General features: G+C 44.1%; 1 protein-coding gene across 79 annotated transcripts in view, besides 1 other annotated feature; it reads left to right on the top strand.

The window, feature by feature from the left end:
• The window catches only part of SORBS1 (sorbin and SH3 domain containing 1), a 249,599-nt gene that overhangs the window by 104,911 nt on the left and 123,252 nt on the right, over positions 1-21,436 (top strand). For all 79 annotated transcript variants that reach the window (NM_001384455.1, NM_006434.4, NM_001034957.3 and 76 more), the window contains 2 exons: positions 15,281-15,335; positions 18,906-18,971. In NM_001384455.1, the coding sequence (NP_001371384.1) occupies positions 15,326-15,335; positions 18,906-18,971 (76 nt within the window). In that variant the 5' untranslated portion in view covers positions 15,281-15,325. Of the gene's footprint in view, positions 1-15,280; positions 15,336-18,905; positions 18,972-21,436 lie in introns of those variants that run through there.
• Positions 12,495-12,789: a silencer, noted in NCBI's record as "tiled region #10569; K562 Repressive non-DNase unmatched - State 23:Low". NCBI's record gives its function as "represses a minimal TATA promoter and a strong SV40 promoter by Sharpr-MPRA in K562 cells {active_cell/tissue: K562}" and the evidence as "EXISTENCE:reporter gene assay evidence [ECO:0000049][PMID:27701403]".

Genomic DNA, 21,436 nt, shown 5'->3' with positions numbered 1-21,436 from the left:
GCCCTCTTGCTGCATCATAACATGGTGGACTCATCCTTTTATGAGGAGCCCACTCTGGCAGTAACTAACCCACTCTCTTGATAATGACAGTAATCTATTCATGAGGGCAGAGGCTTTATGAGCTAATCACCTCTTAAAGGTCTACCTCTTAATATTATCACAATGGCAACTAGATTTCAACATGAGCCCTGGAGGAGACCTTCAAACCTTTGCAATCTTGAATTTGAAAACTTCTCTTCTGCAGAACTCTCCTTGGTTTCATGGCCCAACAGAATGTCATTGCCTGGTATTCAAGGCCATTTTGTGGTCTGTGTACACCATCTACATAATGTTATTTCCATATACTCTGCAATACAAACCCTTTGCATTAACTGAATTGGACTTGGGTCTATTCTGTGTGTGTTCTGTGCTATGTTCTAAACATTACCTATGTGAGAATTGCTTTGGAAACTCTAGACACTTTGTGAGGAAAACAGTTTGTTAAAAGCAGAAGACATGGTAGACAAGTTTTTGTTTGTTTGTTTTGAGACAGGGTCTCATTCTGCTACCCATGCTGGAGTGCAATGGTAGAATCATGGCTCACTGCAGCCTCGACCACCCAGGCTCAAAATCAGTCCCCCTGCGTCAGCCTCCTGAGTAGCTGGGATTACACGCATACGGCACCATGCCTGGCTAATTTTTATACTTTTGTAGAGATGGGGTTTCAACGTGTTGCTTAGGCTGGTCTCAAACTCCTGGGCTCAAGCGATCCACCCACCTCGATCTCCCAAAGTGCTGGGATTACAGGCATGAGCTGCCACACGCAATGTGGAAGACGGGTTCTGTATATCCTGGAGGAAGTGGTAAAGTTAAAAAAAAAGTTTTACATGTAAATGAAGTGATACCTAGCCAGTAACATCCATGAGTATTAACTGTGGGGAGAAAGAGGAGACTAGTTACTTTACTTCTTATGGAAAGTTATGAGAAGATTGTGCTCTTGGGGAAAGACCGGACATGTCACCTCATGAGGGAGAGAAAGGTGCTGTAAGCTCTTCAAAGGAGCACTGACCGAGACTGTTCTTTTAATTAGCTTGAAAAGACTCACCTCTCTATGGTGGGAATAGAACATCTGCTGCTACTCAGAGAAACCACGTGAGGAGAAAGTGGTTCTGACCCCCGCCCCAGATGCTATTGATGATGAGGATCATGCTGAAAGCAGCTAAAATTTATTAAGCATTTTCCAACGTTGTAATAGGCACTGGATGTACTGAATCTTATTTAATCTTCACCATAATGCTATGAGATTGATGGCTGTTATTATTCCCATTTTATAGATGAGGAAACTGAGGCTTAGCAAGGTTAACTGACTAACCACAGAAGACACATCTAGTAAGCGTCAGAACAGCAACTCAAATCCAAGTTATACTAAGTCTAGGTATGTTGGTGGGTGTTGTTGCTTCCTAAAGTCTGTTAGAAAATTCTGTAGGTGATCTTATTCCCTTTTAACTTCCCCTAATGAAGATTTTCTATAAAGAAATTGATATCATGAGAACTATGGGCTATTTGGTGCTTTTGTCAGCATGTGCCTGGGTGTTTCCCAGGTAAGTTGTGAAGCTTGGCATTCTCTTAGCTGGAAGATTCCTGCAGTAGAGGGCAGTCCATGGATACTCTTCCATGCTGTTTGTAGTGGCTCATCAGGGTTTCAAGGGTTAGCCTTATCTCTCCAATTAGAATATAAAGTCTCTGAGGGCAAGCACCATCTCTTATCTTGATTGATAACTTCAATAATTTTATTGCCACAGCTGGATGAAAAAGCACCCAAAGAGGATCCGTTTGTCTTTGTTTTAGGTCTGTATATTCTCCAAGCAACCTTTGTACACAAGAGCATCTTGCTGCAGGCAGGGACTGTTTTGTGTCTCCTTGGCTGGGTTCATGTGGCAAAGTGGAAGGAGCCTGGGTTGAGGAGCCGGAGCCAGGACCTGTATTCCAGCCTTCCCGCTTGCTTCTGCAAGACTTTTCAATGAGCCTTCTAACTTTTACTGAAGCTCAGTTTCTCCATTGGCAGAATAGGTGTAGAAACCTTACTAGGTGTTCTGAGGATTAAAAATGACATGATGTGTCAAGTGGCTGGTTCACAGTGAGCATTTAGGAAATGAAGAGATGGTTCTCCTCTGCTTCTGTAGTGTGAGCACAGGGCCTTGCACAGAATGCATACACAATCAGTGTGTTTTGATAATAATGGTTTGGTTCTTTGGCACCTGAACCTAAGGAGGGAGCAACTGTGAAGGCTTTTAAAACATGATGCTTTTTTATCAAGAATGTCCTTCATTGCCAGACTTGGCATAGGAAGGCAGACCTGGAAACTGACTGTTTGGTTCTTGAATCCTGCTTCAGTTCATAAAACCTGATGTTTGGTACAGGTAAGTATTGGTAATATCAACCTCATAATCAGATATACAATGATCACATTCATTAGTCTGTTAATAAACAAAGGATAACAAAGAATAGACCCAATACCTTTGCTAGAATACTTTTCCTTTTATAACACAACAATTTACAGTGTTTCATATATACAGTTATCTGTCAGTATGCTATAGAGATTGGTCCAGGACCCCACGTATACCCAAATCTGAGCAGACTTATGTCCTGCAGCGGGCCCTGCAGTACTCACATATAGGAAAAGTTGGCCATCCACATACGCAGCTTCCACATCCTACAAATGCTATATTTTTGATCCAAGTTTGGTTGAAAAAAATCTACATATAAGTGGACCCTCACAGCTCAAATGTGTGTTGTTCAAGGGTCAACTGTATTTTAAAATTTAATCTTAAGAACAACTTAATGGGCTGGGCACGGTGGCTCATGCCTGTGATCCCAGCACTTTGGGAGGCCGAGGCGGGTGGATCACCTGAGGTCAGGAGTTCGAGACCAGCCTGGCCAACATGGTGAAACCCTGTCTCTACTAAAAATACAAAAACTAGCCAGGCGTGGTGGCATGCACCTGTAATCCCAGCTACTAGGGAGGCTGAGGTAGCTGAATTGCTTGAACGTGGGAGGCGGAGGTTGCAGTGAGCCAAGATCGTGCCATTATACTCCAGCCTGGGCAACAGAGCAAGACTCCATCTCAAAAACAAAACAAAACAAAACAAAAAACAATTAATGTAAGTAGGTTTTTTGCTTTTGTTTTTGTTTTTTTGAGACAGAGTCTTACTCTGTCACCTAGGCTGGACTGCAGTAGCACAATCTTGGTTCACTGCAACCTCTGCCTCCCAGATTCAAGAGATTCTCATGCCTCAGCCTCCCAAGTAGCTGGGACTACAGGCATGCACCACAACACCCGGCTAATTTTTGTATTTTTAGTAGAGACAGGGTTTCACCATGTTGTCCAGGCTGGTCTCAAACACCTGACCTCAAGTAATCCGCCTGCCTTGGCCTCTCATAGTGCTGGGATTATAGGTGTGAGCCACCATGCCCGGACTAAAGTAGTATTTTTAATTTCCTTTTATGGATGAGTAAACCGAGGCTGACAAATTAAGGGACTTCTCAATTTGCACAGCCCTGCCAAAGTTTGGATTCAAATTGAGTTCTTCTTACCCGGCTTTTTGTTGCTTTCCTGCAGCCACCAGGCACATATACAACTCAAGTCAGAAGTGTGTGCCAGATGCCAACTGAGCCAGAGTCCTTGTAAGCCTATAATATAGGCAAATTGTGTGTGTGTGTGTTTATATGTGTGTTTGTGTAAATATAAACACAGAGAGACTAATTTTTATATATTAATATATAAATGTATAATGCCAACCTATTTCTAGGTAGTCTGGAAGACAATATAGATTTAAAAAAATACTTTCATTGAATTTTTGCTGTGAGCTTGATATTATGTTGAATGTTTTAGTGGTTTTATCTTGGTTTGAAGAAAACTCATTACAGAAATTTGTATTGTAATTTCAGTGGTTGGATGTTGTGCTTTTATACCTGATATATTCAAAAATTGCCTAAAATTAGGGTAAAAATAAACAAGGATAGATAAAAGTAGCTAATGTGATATGTTCACTGGATGAGTGATGGGAGCCAAGGTCTTGCATTTATTACAGTGAGGTGCTAATGATCTGATTTGGTCCATGGCCTCAGAGCCTGTGCTCAGGGCTTATTGATTTTGGGCCTGTATATATGTGTTCCACCTCAGTTGTTAAACAAATGCCACCGAGAAGAGAGGTTTTCTCAGAAAAGATGGTGTTTGCAGTGTTTTATATTACCTTTTTGGTAGGTTAGTATATATTCAGTTACAAGTTCAAAACTTCTTAAGGAAAATAAGCAATTCCTGAACAAGCCAGTATTATGAACTGAAGTATTTAAGTTATGTGTTTGCTAAAGACCCAAAGTCTTTTTACTGAATGGAGCCTCTGTTCCCTCATTCCTGAGCATGGTATGGGTCTGTACTGCAGATGTCTGTATAATATATGATGTGGTAAATACATAGCCTCAGGGATTTTGTGGTTTAAAAGGAAAGTTGAGAGGGAACTGTGGACTGTCTGTAAGAGCAGAGACCTCTCCTGCCATATCAAACCCACCCTGCTTTCCCATTTTCAAGCTCTAACAGACTGCTTTTCAGCTTTTTAACATTTTTTTTCCCAGCCATACACAGTACTTCTTCATCTCGTTTACCTATATTGTGGACTATGGCCCTACCTTGATTCTCCTGAGAATCCAAAATGCTTTCATTCATGGCCTCTCACTGGTAGACATTGTATAGCGACTGCTTCAGAAGAAAAATGGCTCTGTGTCCTGGGCTTGTGTTTATTATTTTGAGGTTATATATTTATGATTTAAACAGAGTTAAGATGTCTTGCTTTTATCTCATGAATTTCGGAATCTGCCCTATTTTGAGTTATCTGGATTGTCTAAGGAGAAGGCTCCAAATGTGCTGAATGCCACAATTAGACAGCTTTGTTTTGGTTCTGTAGACACAACCATATTTGGGAAACACGAATAGGCTAGTTTTTGCATTTAAGACTTGTCTTGGTTAACTGCGTATTTTAGAAACTGTGTGTGCCCAGAGTTTTACATATAAAGGATTTGAGAAGGAGTTCAGGGCTCTGGAATGCCATGAAGCTGGGTTAGAAGCAGGGACTTGGCAGTGAGCAGGCACTGGGAGCAATGGGGGTAGTTTGTGTGTTGTCACCTGGCAGCTCCTGCTGACTATTTTAAGATGAAATGTTTTGGTGCGATTGCTTCTTTAGGAAATCTGGCTGAACAGTCGAGTCCGTTTATTGCCCCCTTCATCCTCCTGAGGAACTTCATGGGAGTAGTTTGGCTTTCATTAAACAAAAGCAGTCACTGATGGTGAATGTTAGAATCCCACAAGTTCCGTGGAAGATGGCATCAGGTGGCTCTGCCATGTTCTAATGGACATGACTGTCAGTGGCATTTTTAGCTTGTCTCCTAGAATTTTTTCTTTCAGGTTCTAAATATTACACAATTGCATATCAAATGTCACGTAGGAGCTAAAAAGGATATTTGTCATTAGCAAAGAAATGTATTATAAGCACATTATAAACAGTTTAGAAAATAGAAAAAAGAAGTTACCCATAATTCTATGCTACCACAATCACTATTAGAATTTGGATATATTTTCTTTTTACTATATACATGCGTTTTGCCTATTATATAATTATAACCACAGAGCCGGGCACAGTGGCTCATGCTTGTAATCCCAGCACTTTGGGAGGCTGAGGCAGGCAGATCACTTGAGGTCAAGAGTTTGAGACTAGCCTGGCCAACATGGTGAAACCCTGTCTCTACTAAAAATACAAAAATTAGCCAGGCGTGGTGGTGTGTGCGTGTAGTCCTAGCTACTCAGGAGGCTGAGGCAGGAGGATCGCTTGAACCCAGGAGGCAGAGGTTGCAGTGAGCAGAGATCGTGCCACTGCACTCCGCCTAGGCAACAGAGTGAGACTCCATCTCAAAAAAAAAAAAAATTGTAATCACAAATGTCACACAGACTTATACCCTGCTGTAGTCACCTAATCTTACGAGAAGTCTTTTCCCATGTTGTATGGTCTATGTTAGTTATTCTCATAACTGTTCAACAGTCCCCACAGTGGGTATGTGGTCAGGTAATTAGCCCCTGTGTTATTGAACACCAGAGGATTTCAAGGCTTTCACTATTACTAATAAAGCTATGGTAAACATCTCTGTATGTATAGCATTATTGTCATTCAAGCTTCTTTCTTTAGACTAGATTCTCCTAAAGCACAGGGATACGAGGTGCATAGCTCTTGGTGTGTATTGCTGAAGATAATGATAAAAATGTAGTGTCATTGGCTGTGTAGGAAAAAGCCAATGTCTTTGCATTTGCCCACATTGTTAGTTTTAAAAAATTTTTGGACTAATATAAGAAGTAGAAAAAATGGTTAGTCATTATTTTAATATATTTTTTAACTAGTTGGGTTAAGTAAACGTTTTCTCATAGATTTGTTTATTATTTGCATTTTGTCTTCTGGGAATCATTTCTTCACGTATCTAAAAATATTTTTCTTGGCAATTAGTATGATTACATTAGATTAAGGATATTAACCCGTCTATCTTGTTTGCTGCAAGCCATGCATTTTAATATGTTAGACAATGTAATATATAATTACAAATTATCCCCTAAATTCTGTTGTTTGAAGCACAAATAATACTGCATTTATAAGACTTGAAACTGTTTGGGGGGCTGAATTTGCTTATTGGGTTGGAAGTCAACATTTTATATTTATTTAAAAGCTCCACTCAAGTATAAAAGGTAAAAAAAAAAATGATTGCAGATTTATTGGTGGTGAATGTTCTAGCTCCAGATCTGCCCCTTCTCTGGCATGGACCTGGAACGAGAGTTTGATATTGGTAGTGGAGTTTGGGCATGGGCTTTCTGAATATTGTGATCATAAATAGGTCTTATTAAAATGAGTTCTTGGCTGGGTGTGGTGGCTCACGCCTGTAAATCCCAGCACTTTGGGAGGCCGAGGCGGGTGGATCACTTGAGGTCAGGAGTTCAAGACCAGCCTGGCCAACATGGTGAAACCCCATCTTTACTAAAAATACAAAAAGTAGTCAAGGTGGCACGTGCTTATAATCCCAGCTACTTAGGAGACTGAGGCACGAGAATCACTTGAACCCAGGGGGTGGAGGTTGCAGTGAACCGAGATTGTGCCACTGCACTCCAGCCTGGATGAGGGGGCAAGACTCTGTCTCCAAAATAAAAGAGTTCTTCATCTTCATGACTTTTAATAGGGATCAAAACCAAAACTATTTCTAGCCAGTGTAACTACAGAAAATAAAATAAAATAAAAAGTAGATGAAAATAAAAACCTTTAGTTTTTGTTGGGCCAATGCATCTGGCTATTGGGATTGGCCTTAAATTTGGGGAGATGAGGGAAAGGGCATTAGTGGGAAGCAACAAGGTTAAAGGCTTAGAAATGGGAACTCTTGTCAGAATTCAGTAGGAATAGCAAGTGTGGTACATGTGGAGTTTAGGGCTCATGGGAGGATGTGAGGGAGATGAGACTGGAAAAATAACTGGGACATGATCCTGCAGGGTCTTATGGCACATTAAATTAGGACTTGAATTTTTAGATCAGTGTTTCCAAAAGTGTGACATTTGAGGTGATTTTAGAAGGTATGTCATTGAACATTGGAAAATTTTGGTATTTATTCATTCCTTATTCTCTCTGTCATGCAGAATTTATTCCTTTTCCTTTTGTGCTCCCATGACACTTAAGCCAGATTGCTAGCAGAAGGGTTATCCCATTGTACTATATTTAAATGGACCACATCTGCCACCCTACAGCCCTGTGTTGGCCTCAAAGACAGCAATCCTGTCTGATCATGTTGGTCTCCCCTGGGCCAAGCACTTTCCTGGGTGCAAAGTAGGTACTAAAGAAATGTTTTTGAGCTGTATCATCAGGCCTGTGTTTTAGATATAATATTCTTTCCGGAAGCCTTGCTGCCTTTCCCTTGCCTGCCATACTGCCCAGCCAACCCCTCTGAGTGTATAGGAGCCCTGCGGAGTTTTTTTCCCCATTGAAATTTGACCCAGGTTGAATTGAAAGTTGGGGAGTGCATAGGTGGGTGCCAGCACAGTGGCTGGAGGGGGCTCATGGAACCTCCTTCCAACACAGCTGGAAAACCAGGAAAATGGGCTGGGTAACCTATATAGATGCTTCTGGTTCTAAAGAAGTGAGCATGTAGTTGGAACAGAATAAAGACCAGCTGAGGGCCCTCTGGCTCCCTAAACTCCTGAAGAACTGCAGAGGCCCTGTTCTAGAAGGATCCTCATGGCCCAGTGTAAATCAGTTTACAGTGACACTTAGAAATCAAGACCAGAAAGTGTGGGGAGGAGGAAGGAGTTAACTGTCTTAAATGCAGTGGAAAGATCAGTGAAGCCTGGACCAGTGCAGAAACCGTTGGACTTGGCCATGCGTGTGCACTGGAAGTCTTTCTGAAGGCCATTTCAGATAATTGGTTAGAACGGAAACTGAGTTGGAGGGACTCCAGGAGGAAATGAGAGGATGTGGAGGATGGCCTTTCTGATGTGTTTTCCTATTGCTCCCTCTCCAGAAACATTGGTCTTTTTACAGAAACTTCGTGCTTGTTGTGTTCTGAGCTCCCAGGAGTGTCATGGGATTCTAGACTGAAGTTAATGTCAGGGTCAAGTTTATCCCACTTTCTTCCCCTTGAACGGAAGTATCAGCGACTCAGTGTTTATCCTTTCTGGCTTTCTGAAGAGCCTTCTGCACCCTTTGCAATAATGTAGAGGGTGCATTTGAAGAGAAGTGACATTAATAGAGATTGAGAAGAGAAGGAGCTGTTGAAAAATTGGAGAAACGTGGCTCTGCTAGTGGATCTGCAAAGTACAAAGAAATAAGGCCAGGCATTTATTCTGGGGCTCTGTGCGCTGTCTCTATTCTTTTCAAGCTGTTGGAAGTAGCTGTACGTATATAAAATCAAGTCCCAGATTAGATTTTTTTTTTTTTTTTAAATACAGGGTCTCACTCTGTTACCCAGGCTAGAGTGCAGTGAGCAATCTTGGCTCACTGCAACCTCTGAGGCCTCCTGGGTCCAAGTGACCCTCCCACCTCAGCCTCCAGAGTAGCTGGGACTACAGGCGTGCACCACCACACCCAGCTAATTTTTGTATTTTTGGTGGAGACAGGGCATCCCCATGTTACCTAGGCTGGTCTTGAACTCCAGACTCAAGCAGTCTGCCTGCCTCAGCCTCCCAAGTGCTGGGATTGCAGGTACGAGCCATGGCACCCAGTACCAGACTGGGTTTTTTTGTTTTTTTTTGTTTGTTTGTTTTTGTTTTTGAGACAGAGGCTTGTTCTGTCACCCAGGTTGGAGTGCAGTGGTGCGAGCTCAGCTCACTGCAACCTCCGCCTCCCGAGTTCAAGTGATTCTCCTGCCTCTGCCTCCAGAGCAGCTGGAACTACAGGCGTCCACCACCATGCCCGGCTAATTTTTGTATTTTTAGTAGAGATGGGGTTTCACCATGTTGTCCAGGCTGGTCTTGAACTCCTGACCTCAAGCACCGGCCTCCCAAGGTGCTGGGATTCTAGGTGTGAGTCATTGAGCCCGGCCCAAGATTAGATTTTAAAGCTAAGGCATAACCAGCATTTTGTTCAAGTGGGGAGCTGGCTCCCTTTTAAGGAGCCATGGTGGAGTTAAGGAGGCTCTTGATTATCTTGAAGGTAAGACTCTGAAGTTAGGTTCCGAAGGTTAAACAGAGGCGAGAGCAAAGGCCGTGACTGAGCACCTACTGCATGTCCAGTGCTGAGGATGATGCAGTTTTCCTTTCCAGATATTTACAATCTATTGTTGGGGATGGGGGAGCTATGGAGGCAAAACACCATAGTGCATAGGAGAAGCTGGAGCATGCTGGCTAGGAGATTTAAAGGCTGTTTGTTTTCCAAGAACCTTTGCAGGACCTTGAATTCATTTTTACAGACATGCTCAATTTCTTCCTAGTCATATATCCCTAAACTACCCATATAAGGACCTTCTTTCCTTTCCCAGTAACCAACCCATATTTAGTTGATTGTTTTTCAGCTGGAAGCATGAGTATAACTTTGGCTTTTTAGTAATTAATCACTTTGTGTCATCAAAACTTATCTTAGAATTATAGGGTCATGGAATTGGCGGGGTAGGGGGGACAATATGGAATGATTAATTATCTGGATGCTTTCTTAACAACTCTGGCCACTTCACATCTTGTTCTTCTCGTGGAATGTCTGTGTTGATGCCATGGTACTTTGACCAAGTACGGCAGGTCCAAGCAGCTCAAAGCGTGGAATGGCGGTTTGACTCCCCGCTGGCACACCCAAGCTGTGACACTGCATAGGTTCCTGCAACTCACTAGGGGAATTTACTGCCCACTTGCAGTTGTGTCATTTTGCCACTAGATGGTACACTGTTGGTCCTTTTGGCTTTTACCCAAAGGTGCCTGGCTCATTTGGAGGGGACTTGTAAGAGGCATTCCAAAGACGTGCCATCATGTACTCAACCAAATCAGGCTCTTTACAGCTTAGTTTTTAAATAAATATTAAGTGTTAGAGGTTTTTATGTAAAATAAACTCTCAAGTTCTCATCTGATTGTAATGGCCCATATTATCTCTAAATAAACAGCAGGGACTAGACTATGATTTTCAAAGCTTTCAGTGTTCCGGTCAAGCTCAATTTGTGTAGTTTCATGGATGCGTCCTCACTGCCCAGGCTCTGAGCACTTAAGGTTGTAGAGACACAACCACTGCCGAGCCACTTGGGATTCAGATCTGGTCAGCCTCATGTCAGGAGAGAGGAATGAAGATTCTCCTCTTCAGATGAAACCTTGGGGACTTCTCCCTCCCATCTTCTGCTGGTCAAGGTTCTTGGGTGGCAGATAACCAGAAACCACCTCTGGTGAACTCAAACTGAAGAGGGATTTATTGGCAAGATCTTGGGTAGTTCACGGAGTTTATGGAAGGTTGGAGAACTGCACTCAGAACTGGGGCAGGAATTCCAGGAGGCTGAGCTGGCTGGGATCAGAGCCAGAATCAGGCCCTGGAATAGTCTGGATAGGACGTTGCTGCTGTTGCCACAACAGGGGAGGACTGGATGCAGGGCACTGTCCTTGGCACTGCTGCCGTTGCTGCAGTTCCTTTTCTTCAGTCAGCCCATTCATCCTCAGCACTTTTAATTTTATTTTAAACTATCCCTTGTTTGTTAGTATCACCTGCTGCAGATTTAATCACCAGAGTGAGAACACACAACAGAACCTGCTACTCAAAAAGTCCTCGTGTGCAAGAGCTGGTACTCACCTGTGCATTGTCATTGTCACGTACTATCGTCATACTAGCTCTTAAAATATCAAAGTAGTCTCTTAACACCCAGGGTCCATTCTCCTTCTACCCTCTCAGCATCCAGCCATTAAATGGTTAATAGCAGGCACAGGGAGGGGCCTCCCAGAGAGTGCTACAACTGGTGTCTGCTCCAGTTGGTAGACATTTGTGGCAAAATGATGGTTAAATATTTTGAAGATTATCCCTGACTGTGTCTATTTTAGGTTAGTTTGTAAGTAAGGGGGCTGACACTTAGAAGTTAGTAGTTTCTATATTGAGAAATGTGAAATGTGCAAAGGGCTACCCGCATATGACGGTGATTACTTATCATGTATGAGTTGAGGTATCCTTTTTGTTTGGTTCACAAGACATCTCCATTCATTTCTTCTCCAGCCTAAGAATGCTGTGTGCTTTGTACTTGTTTTTTAAATTAAGACGAATTAAACTATACAAAGGGAATTGGTAAATGGATTATGGAGTGTTATTACAATGAAATACAGCCATTAAAATGATGGATATGCTGACTATATAGAATCCCAGAAAAATGTTCATGAAATACTTGATTTAAAAATTAGAACACAAAGCTGTCCAGATATTATGTTTACAATAATGTACTTGCTATTTATGTATCTAAAGGCTAGAAAAAACTTATAAAAGAATGAAAATAGTTTCAGTTAAGATAGCTTCACAGTGGAAACAAAAAGATTTCTTCAATAATGCTTTAAAAATTGAGGAAAGGCCAGGTGCAGTAGCTCACACCTATAATCCCTGCACTTTCAGAGACTGAGGCAGGAGGATCGCTTGAGGCCAGGAGTTGAGGCCAGCCTGGGCAATAGAGAGACCCCATCTCCACAAAATAAAAATTTTAAAAATTAGCCAGGTGTGGTGGTGCATGACTGGTCCCAGCTACTTGGGAGGCTGAGGTGGGAGGATCGCTTGAGCCCAGGAGGTTGAGGCTGCAGTGAGCCGTGATCACACCAGTGCACTCAAGCCTGGGTGATAGTGCAAGACCCTGTCTCAAAAACAAAAACAAAAATAAAAATAAAAATAAGGAATAAAAACCTTAATACAATTGCTCATGAAAATTATTTATAAAATAAAAGCATTTGGATGCTATCACAACAACACTTTTGATCCTGGGAGGCAAACTAAGGTATCAAAAACTTAGGACTGGAAAACATGAGGACATACAGATAACAGCAGGTTGTGTGTTTCTCGATTGAAAGAACAAATGTTTCCACAGCTTAGAGAACCATCTGTGGGGACAGCTATTGAAGGTCATAGATAGTCTCAGATGTATTTGACAGTGACAGAGGCAAAGTTCCTGCTGATTTGGGCTGCAGAGATGGACTTTGAATGATTTCCTCTTCATCCCTAGCATTCTACTCTCTTAATTACAAGGACAGTAAGGCAAAGCAACCATCCAGAAAGGAAACCAGTGTCCAACTTCAGCTTTTTTAAAAGAAAAAGCTAAAGCATGTCTCCTTTTGCAGACCTTCATACCATATCTTCATATCCCTATTACAGAATTCGTGAACCGGGGTTTTTCTCTGTATCATTGCTTCTCACACCTTAAAATGCAAAGGGAGCACCTGGGATTTTGTTAAAATGCCCATTCTGATTCAGTAGGTACAGGAGTCTGAGCTTCTGCATTTTCTTTCCTTTTATTTTTTGGAGTTGGAGTCTCGCTCTGTCACCCAGGCTGGAGTGCAGTGGCACACACGAACTTGGCTCACTGCAACTTCTGCCTCCCAGGTTCAAGCAATTCTCCTGCCTCAGCCTCCCGAGTAGCTAGGATTACAGGCACCCACCACCACACCCGGCTGCTTTTTGTATTTTAGTAGAGACAGGGTTTCACCATGTTGGCCAGGGTGGTCTCAAACTCCTGACCTCAGGTGATCCGCCCATCTTGGCCTTCCAAAGTGCTGGAATTACAGGTGTGACTCACCACACCCGGCCGCTTCTACGTTTTCAGTAAGCTCCCAGCTAATGTGAATGCTGCTGGCCTGTGGACCACACTTGAAATATCAAGGTTCTACATATCCCGAGGACTTGTTTTTCAGATTGTGTGACCTTCAGATGTGTTCAGTAAGACCTTATTAGTCGAGGTATGTACAAGACTTGTACTTTGAAAAAACTATAAAACATTACCAAGAGAAATTAAAGAAGTCCTGGAAAAAGGGAGAGATAGGTCATACTCATGAACTGGAAGACTCAATATTGTTAAAAATGTTAGTTTTCCACAGATTGATCTATAGATTCAACATGATTCCAGTCAAAATCTCAACAGACTTTTTTAGGTAGAAATTGTTAAGGTGGTTTTAAACTTTATATGAAAATGCAAAGGATCTAAAATAGCCAAAATGATTTTGGAAAAAAACTCAAGTTGGAAGACTCACTGTATTAGGCCATTCTTGCACAGCTATAAAGAAATACCAGAGACTGGGTCATTTATAAAGAAAAGGGGTTTAATTGGCTCACAGTTCTGTAAGCTAACTGTACAGGAAGCATCTGCTTGGCTTCTGGGGAGCCTCAGGAAGCTTCCCATCATGGTGGAAGGCGAAGGGGGAGCAGGCGTGTCACACGACAAGAGCATAAGTAAGGGTGCGGGGGGGGGGTGCCACATACTTTTAAATGACCAGGTCTTGTGAGAACTCGCTATTGCAGAGATAGCACCAGGCCATGAGATATCCACCCCCATGATCCAAACACCTCCCACCACGCCCACCTCCAACATCGGGGATTGCATTTTAATGTGAGATTTGGGCAGGGACAAATATCTAAACTCTATCACTCATATTACCTGATTTCAAGGCTATGTAAAACTACAGTAATCAAGACAGTGAGTTATCAGATAAAGACAGCTCACTGAAACAGAAAAGAGTCCAGAAATTGACCCAGCCATATCTAACCAGTTGCTTTTCAGAAGTGTTATGCTAAACGAGAGAAGCCAGACACAAAGGATTACCTGTACTATGATACCATTTATATAAAATCCTGGAAAAGGTAAAACAATAGTAACAGAAAGCAGATCAGTCGTTAACAGGGACCTGAGATGGTACTTGGCTGTAGAGATACACATGGGAACTTTTTGGGGTGATGGAAAGGCTGTATATTGTGATTGCGGTGGTGGTTATAGGATGTATATATTTGTCAAAACTCATCGAATTGTACAATTAAAATGGATATTTTTGGTTATATGCAAACTATAACTCAATAAAAGATCTGGATATATATTAGGGCATTGTCAGTATAATTTCAGCTTTCTTTGAGACCCTACTAAATTAAGGGGTTATCCATTTGAACATCAGGGATTGGTTCCCACCTCCAGGTGGTAGAGCACAGTGCATAGGAACTTGGGCCAGAAAGTCAGGCTGTCTGGGTTCCAGTATCAGCTCCTCCACTGCAGCAAGCACACAGCTTCACCTGTCTGTGTCTCGGTTTCCTCATCTGTGTAACTAACCTGACATTAGTGGTTACCTCCTAGGGTTGTGAGGGTCAAATGCGTTAATATATTCAAAGCATTTAGAACATTTCCTTGTGCATAGTAAGCTATATATAAGCATTCAGTATGATCAGTAAGTTCTCAAATCAGTTTGTGTTGTGATTTTACCTCTTTCTCCTAAAATGTGTTTTTTCCCCTTTCCTTTACCCTCTCTTTAAACCACGTGCACTCGTGTAGCTTGAGGTTTTTAATAGAATGTTTGAAAGGGATGTCGGATAACATCAGCACCAAATATGGGCAACAAAACTGAAACCAGTGAGGTTGAGTGATGTGCCCAAGGTCACAATAATATGTGGGTGACCACAAACCAGAAGCCTGGCCAGGTGACTCCTGGTTCAGCTCTGTTTTATCAAGGGTTACAGTGTTTGCATTTTTAATACTAACCATTGGGATTTATCGCGAACCTGCCATTCATCAATTGCATTGTGTGGTGTTTGTTTTTCTACAGAGCAGTTCAGAGCCCCAGTTGCAGACGACTTGTCCTGCCACCACCATGAGTTCTGGTAAGTCATTTTAAACTCATCTTTCTCTTATCTACCAAACTGGGCAGTTTACCCAGATTTCCCACGCACCCTGAAGGCCCCACTCTGGCATTTTATTTTTTATTTTTTGCCACCTGGGTGAATGCCAAAGCTTTGTCATAAGTTGTCATCATCACTCTCATCACCTTCATGGTTAATGATTTTTTGAGTGCCTACTACTATTGCCAAAGAACTGTGCTATACACTTTACATGCACATTAGCCCTCTCTTTATTGAGATGTAACTGGCATACTATAAACCACAGATATTTTTAGTATACAATTTGATAAAATTTGACATATGTGTTACACCTTCATGGCATTTCTTAATCTGGGTGACTGCAGCAAAAGTAAACTGATTGGCCATAATTGCCCAAGGATGTGAACTAATCTAATGCTTCCTTCATCTAGGCTAGTAGAGTAGTTTGCTCCCTCTTTTGCTTTGCCTTTGGTAGTAAAAGTCAAGACCTAAAGAAATAATCAGTTTTGAGTATTTTTAGTTTTGAGCTGAGGTAGAAAACGTGGGTTAGGGAAGACAGAGATGGGAACAGATCCCTGCTCATCATGCAGCTAAGAGCTGTCAGCTTTCCAACCCAGAATTGGAGCAGAGAAGTTTCCATCTGGAGATTCAGCCCCACCTAGGCTACTGAGCATGCCCTGGACCCTCCTGAGACCTGCAGGTGGGGCAGGCTGTGGGGTGGGAAGATGATCATGTGGATATCTCATTCCGGAGTCTCCCAATCCTGCCGTATTTCGTGAGTGTTGTCAGTGACCTCTGTGGATTAAAAATCACCCTTTTCCATTTATTTGCATACAATGCCGTTTTAGGCAAGTTCTGAGTAGGACAGTATGTAGTTCAGACCTAGGAAGGCTCTGGGCTGGAATAGCTGAGGCCCACACCCTGACCTCAGTGTTTACTGGCTGCATAGCCTTGGGCCTGTGGTGGACCCTTCTCCTCTGCAAAATGGACATAATAAAAACACCAGTTCATTGGGATTTAGTGAGGATTAAGTGAGGCAATGCTTTTATTTATTTATTTTTGAGACAGAGTCTCGATCTGTCACCCAAGCTAGAGTGCAGTGGCGTGATCTTGGCTCACTCCAATCTCTGCCTCCTGAGTTCAAGTGATTCTCCTGCCTCAGCCTCCCGAGTAGCTGAGATTACAGGTGCCCATCACCACGCCTGGCTAATATTTTTGTATTTTTAATAGAGACGGGGTTTCACCATGTTGACCATGTTGACCAGGTCTCGAACTCCTGACCTCAGGTGATCCGCCCCTCTCCGCCACCGTGCCTAGCTAGCCTAAGGCAGTGCTTTTAAAGTGCTGAGCTCTGTGTCCAAGGCATAGCAAGTGCTTCATCTTTGGGCTCTTACTGTTATGAGCTGAGTTCCTCCCTGCAAAGCCAGGGACTTGGCTTCTCAGCAATTCCTTGAGTGCTTTTGCTGTGTGCGAAGAGGCCGTGCACCTTTTCCCCTCTAAGCAGGCTCGGGTACTGCCAGTAGCTCCTGCTTCGTAACTCATTTTTTGTTGTCTCCTTGGCTTTTTGCTTTTGTTGTCATTTAAAATAGGCCATGATGTTTTGCTTTATTTTGTTTTTAACTTTTTCTCTGTAGCCTAAAGCTACTTTCTCGTCCAGTGGCAGAACTGGCCTCACTTTGCTTTACTACTCTTGGCATCAAGGGCCAGAGAAGGAGGAAGGGAGGGGCCTGGAAGAAGGGTATGGGTGTGGAAAAGCCCAGGAGACTGCTCCCCAGAATCTCTCTCTCAGGTGGGGGGTTGGAAGGAGGCGTTGCCTAGGAAGAGTTCAGAAATTCTGGAGCCTTTGACCTGATGATCCCACTCTTGGGAATTTCTATCTTAATTCCAAGGAAACAAAAATATCACCTACATGAAGGGGGGGTATGAGTAAGTACGTTATGTGTATTTACTTGATGGAATATTATGCCGCTGTTAAAATGGTCATTAGGAGAAAAGCAGCTACATGGGAAATATTTGTTTTAATCACTGGTGGAAAGAGCAGTGTAAAAATGGTGGATTCTTTTAATTCCAAGTTTGGGCTGGGCTACCAGTCACTGGGGGAAGTGCTTTACCTGTGTGATATTGTTACATTCTCCTGGAAAACCCTCACAGGTGGGGCGTGGTTTGCCACCCTCATTACACAGATGGAAAAACTGAGGCCCTGAGGGGTTAATAATATGGCTGGGATCACTCAGCTAGTGTGTACTGTTGCTGAATCAAACTCAGGAAGCTGGACAGCAACATTGTGCTGCAGAGGTTTGAGTTTCAGGAGATGGAGTTACTAATTTTTAAATACCTTTCCAAAATTTCTTCAAGTTTGGTTGTTACATTTAATTAAAAGAAAGGAAGAACATGGGGCTGGGCCTGCTGGTAGCTCAGAGGCTGCCCCACACTAGCCTGGGGAGGCCTGGAGCAAGGCCTACAGTCACAGAAGGAACTAGAGCAGGTACTTGGATTTCTGGCCTTCTCACCAGCACCCTTCTTCCACCCATCTCAGAAATCAGAGCTCAAGGGAGACTCAGACATCTAGGAGAATTAGCCTTCACCTATAGGTGGGTGTGGGCAATTAACAGGTCACAGCCTGTGGGGCCAGCATGCGGAAGCCCAGGCACCAGGTGGGGCAGTGGCCCTGCTCATGTGTGGCCCACAGGCAGCATCCAGACTGGCCTGTCAGTGTGGTTTATAGCAGGCGACCCCCCTTTTGGAAGGCTGATTGTTAAGGGCCTAGGTAAGGTGACTTAGTCTCAGCCTAATGAATTACAGGGGTGTGGGACTAAGCTTCAGTCCCAGCATTTGGAGAAATAGAATATATATATGTATCAGGAAACCCAAATGTTTATCCCATTTGGGGAGGAAGAAGATGAGCTGTGAGATGGGCAGACCAGAGTTCAAATTTCAGCCTAGTGATCTTGGGCAGGCCTGGAATCCTCTCTGCCTCAGTTTTCTTATCTATAAAATAGGCATTCCTAACTCCTAGTTCTGGAGGTCTGGGTCTTCAGGATAAAATGAGGTGCTAATTATGGAATGCTAAGCATGGATCCTCACACCAGGCAAGTCAGTGTTTAAAAACCCATAGCTAGTCATGATTATGTTTGTAGCTTGGTTAACTCTGGGCTTGGAGGGGTTCCTCCAAGCACACATGTCCCAGGGCGACAGGGCCTGCCGGCCTTCCTTCCTTGGCGTGCCTTTATCTATTTTGGGATGGGGACCTGGGCGGGGCTTAGGCTACAGGGGAGCAGGGAGGATCTTAGCTTCTGTAACTGAGCAGAACTCAGGAAAGTCTCAGCCAACACAGAGGACATGACATCCGAGGGGAGCTCCAGGGATGCGTGGAATTTCCATCAGGTGAGAAGGGAGGAGGAGGCATTCTCGGCAGAGGGCCTCATAGGAACCAAGGCCTAGAGGTCTGAAAGTATCTGGGCAGGACCCCTCTGCTTCCTCCTGATTGTGACCCCAGCACCTCCTGCCACACAGGACTCAGTAAGTGCTGGGGCAGCTTACTCACAAACCTCATGCTCTCTTTCTTTCTTGCAGAATGTGATGGTGGTTCCAAAGCTGTGATGAATGGCTTGGCACCTGGCAGCAATGGGCAAGACAAAGGTAAGGTTCTTGGAGAGAAATCTGGATTGGTACTGGAAGGCATTTCTAAAGGTGCGGAGTATGTCAGGCCGGGGCCATCCCATCTGCCTGGTGCAAACATCATTGGCCTAACCAAGCCATAAACTGGTGACCTGTTCCCTACACTGATTTTCTGAGACCTGGAGCCTGTTGTTGCATTTCGGGAGTCTGAGGCTGCCATTTTCCCACTGTGAGGTATTAAAAACTTTCCCTAGCTCACAAGGATGCTGTGAATGACAGATCAGATACGAGGACCAAGGCGTATTTCATGCCTGGTACAGATGGCATTTATCAGCCTGAAATATCCCTTGCTCAGCCTTTTACCTTCACCTGTAATAAACAGTGATGTGTTCACAGTCCTGTCCCTAAGGCAAGAGCCTAAATCATTAAAATAAATTATTTCAGTGGCATTAATTTAATGCACATCCTCTCATAGTTTCAGTTTTTAAAATTTTTAGGATAAAAGATTTAAATGTGAAATGAATGATGGATGCGATGACCTTTGAGGTCCTGCTTAGCCTGGAGACTTTCATCCTGACCTCAGTGTGGCTGCACAGATAGCCTGGCTACGGGGCTCGCGGTGCCACTTTTATTGTGTTGTGTGATGGATGCTGAAGCTGGAGTGACAAGGCATGGGTTCAAGTCCCAGCTCTGCCACTCATGAACAGGACATCTTGAGAGGCCCTTTATCTTTGTGGGTGTGGGTTCCCTTATCTATAAGATGAGGGAATTTATGATCTGCCGTATTTATTTCTGCTTCAAATTCAGAATTGGAATGAACGCTCATCCCAGTAAATTTTCTGGTAACCAAGAGGAAGGGCCAGAATCCTTGCATTGGGCATTTAAGTCAAGATGCATCTCAAAGAATAATTCCAAACAATTTGGCATTTTGATCTTTGTAATTTCCATCTGGGTCAACAAAGTGTTCCTTTTAAGACAAGGCAAAGTGTGAAAGGAACCAGCCGTAGAGGGTATGTCCAGAGACTAGGAGGGGCTGGGGTACAGGGCCCAGGTGGTGTGGGGGTGGGTTCCTTGGTGGCCAGAGGGGACCTGCCATGCTCCTGTTCTTGCCTCCCTGCCTGGTCGCCCCTCTGCACCCACGGTGTGGGGCCCTGGACAGTCTCGACCAAGTTGCACTTAGGGAACTCTGAGGGGCAGTGCCTGTGGAGTGGCTGTAGGCATGTGTTTAGCATCCAGTGAGGAGCATGGGGAGGGGTGGGGGCCCTATTAGTTTAAAGCCTGTGGGGTCATGGACCCCATCCATGTGAACTCATTTATACAAGAGACTTAAGGCGTGTGGGGGAGGGTGGCAGGTGGAGTGAGTCCCACTCTCTCCTTGGTGAGACTCACCTTTGTCTGCAAACAAGCAGGCAGGAGTGACTGAAGGGCATCAGGGTGGCCTGAGGTCACTGAACCAGAGCTGGGATAGCTGAGCTCCAGTCTCAGCCTCTCCGCTTGAGAACTGAATGAGCCTGAGCAGTTCACTGAGCCTCTTGCTTCTTCCTCTGAAAATGGTTACAAAAGTCTCCCCCAAGCCCATCTCCCAGGTGGAGCAGACAGGAGGATGCTGTGAGAGCACATTTGTGTCTTAATCCATGCAGCAGCGTCATTGGCAACCTAGTCATTGATGGCCAGGCGCCGTGTGACTGCCCCATGCCTTATGAGGTGAGCTGACAGCGGGATGGACTGGAAGGTGCACTGTCTCTGGCCGACATGCCTCCCTTCTGTTGCCTTGACAGGCTCACCAGCACGATGCTGACTTTGCAGTGGCGGTCTTGTTCCCAGACAGCCCTACCCGCTGTGTTTCTGTAGATCTGTGGCCACAGTCGACTCTGGCACCTTCACACAGAGCTCCCATCCCTCTTTATGTGCTGCCCTTGAAAGAGAGGACGAGGGGAGGCCTCACAACAGGCTCGGTGTGAGGAGAGTTAGGGAACGTGCCTACCATGAGATTACAGAATCTGGGCAGGCAGGGAGCCCAGAGACCCTGCAGATAGATAAGTTTGAGCACCCAGGATGTTCGAGCGGTAGCCTTCACCACGTCCCAGGCAGGCATTCCTGCTCTGCCTTAGCTCAGCTGGGCATTGGGGTCCTGGGCTGTGCACTTGGGTGCTGCCCAGAGACTACATATGCACTTGGACACTTGGCACCTCCTGACCAGGAAAGGGTGGGTTTGAGCAAGGCCATCTGCCGTTTAACAGATGGGGGCTTTGATTTGCTTGGGGCCAGAGGGCTACAATTATCGGAGCAGGCACAAGACCCCGGAAGTTATGCTATGGGGGAAGTAGCTCTGATGGCTGAAGGGACCAGACAACTCACGATCTTGTTCCTTCGTTCTTCCACTCATCTGGAGCCCATGGGCCACAGCCCTCCTCCTCGGAACCCACTCCCCAGCCTTCTCCCAAGAGGCCCTGTGGACCCTGAGTGCTCTCCCCTTCTTCTGTTTG

The sequence above is a fragment of the Homo sapiens genome, chromosome 10, assembly GCF_000001405.40.
Source record: "Homo sapiens chromosome 10, GRCh38.p14 Primary Assembly".
Classification (NCBI taxonomy): Eukaryota; Metazoa; Chordata; class Mammalia; order Primates; family Hominidae; genus Homo; species Homo sapiens.
Note: the sequence above shows the minus strand (reverse complement) of the source record. Positions and strands in the feature narration are given on the sequence as shown.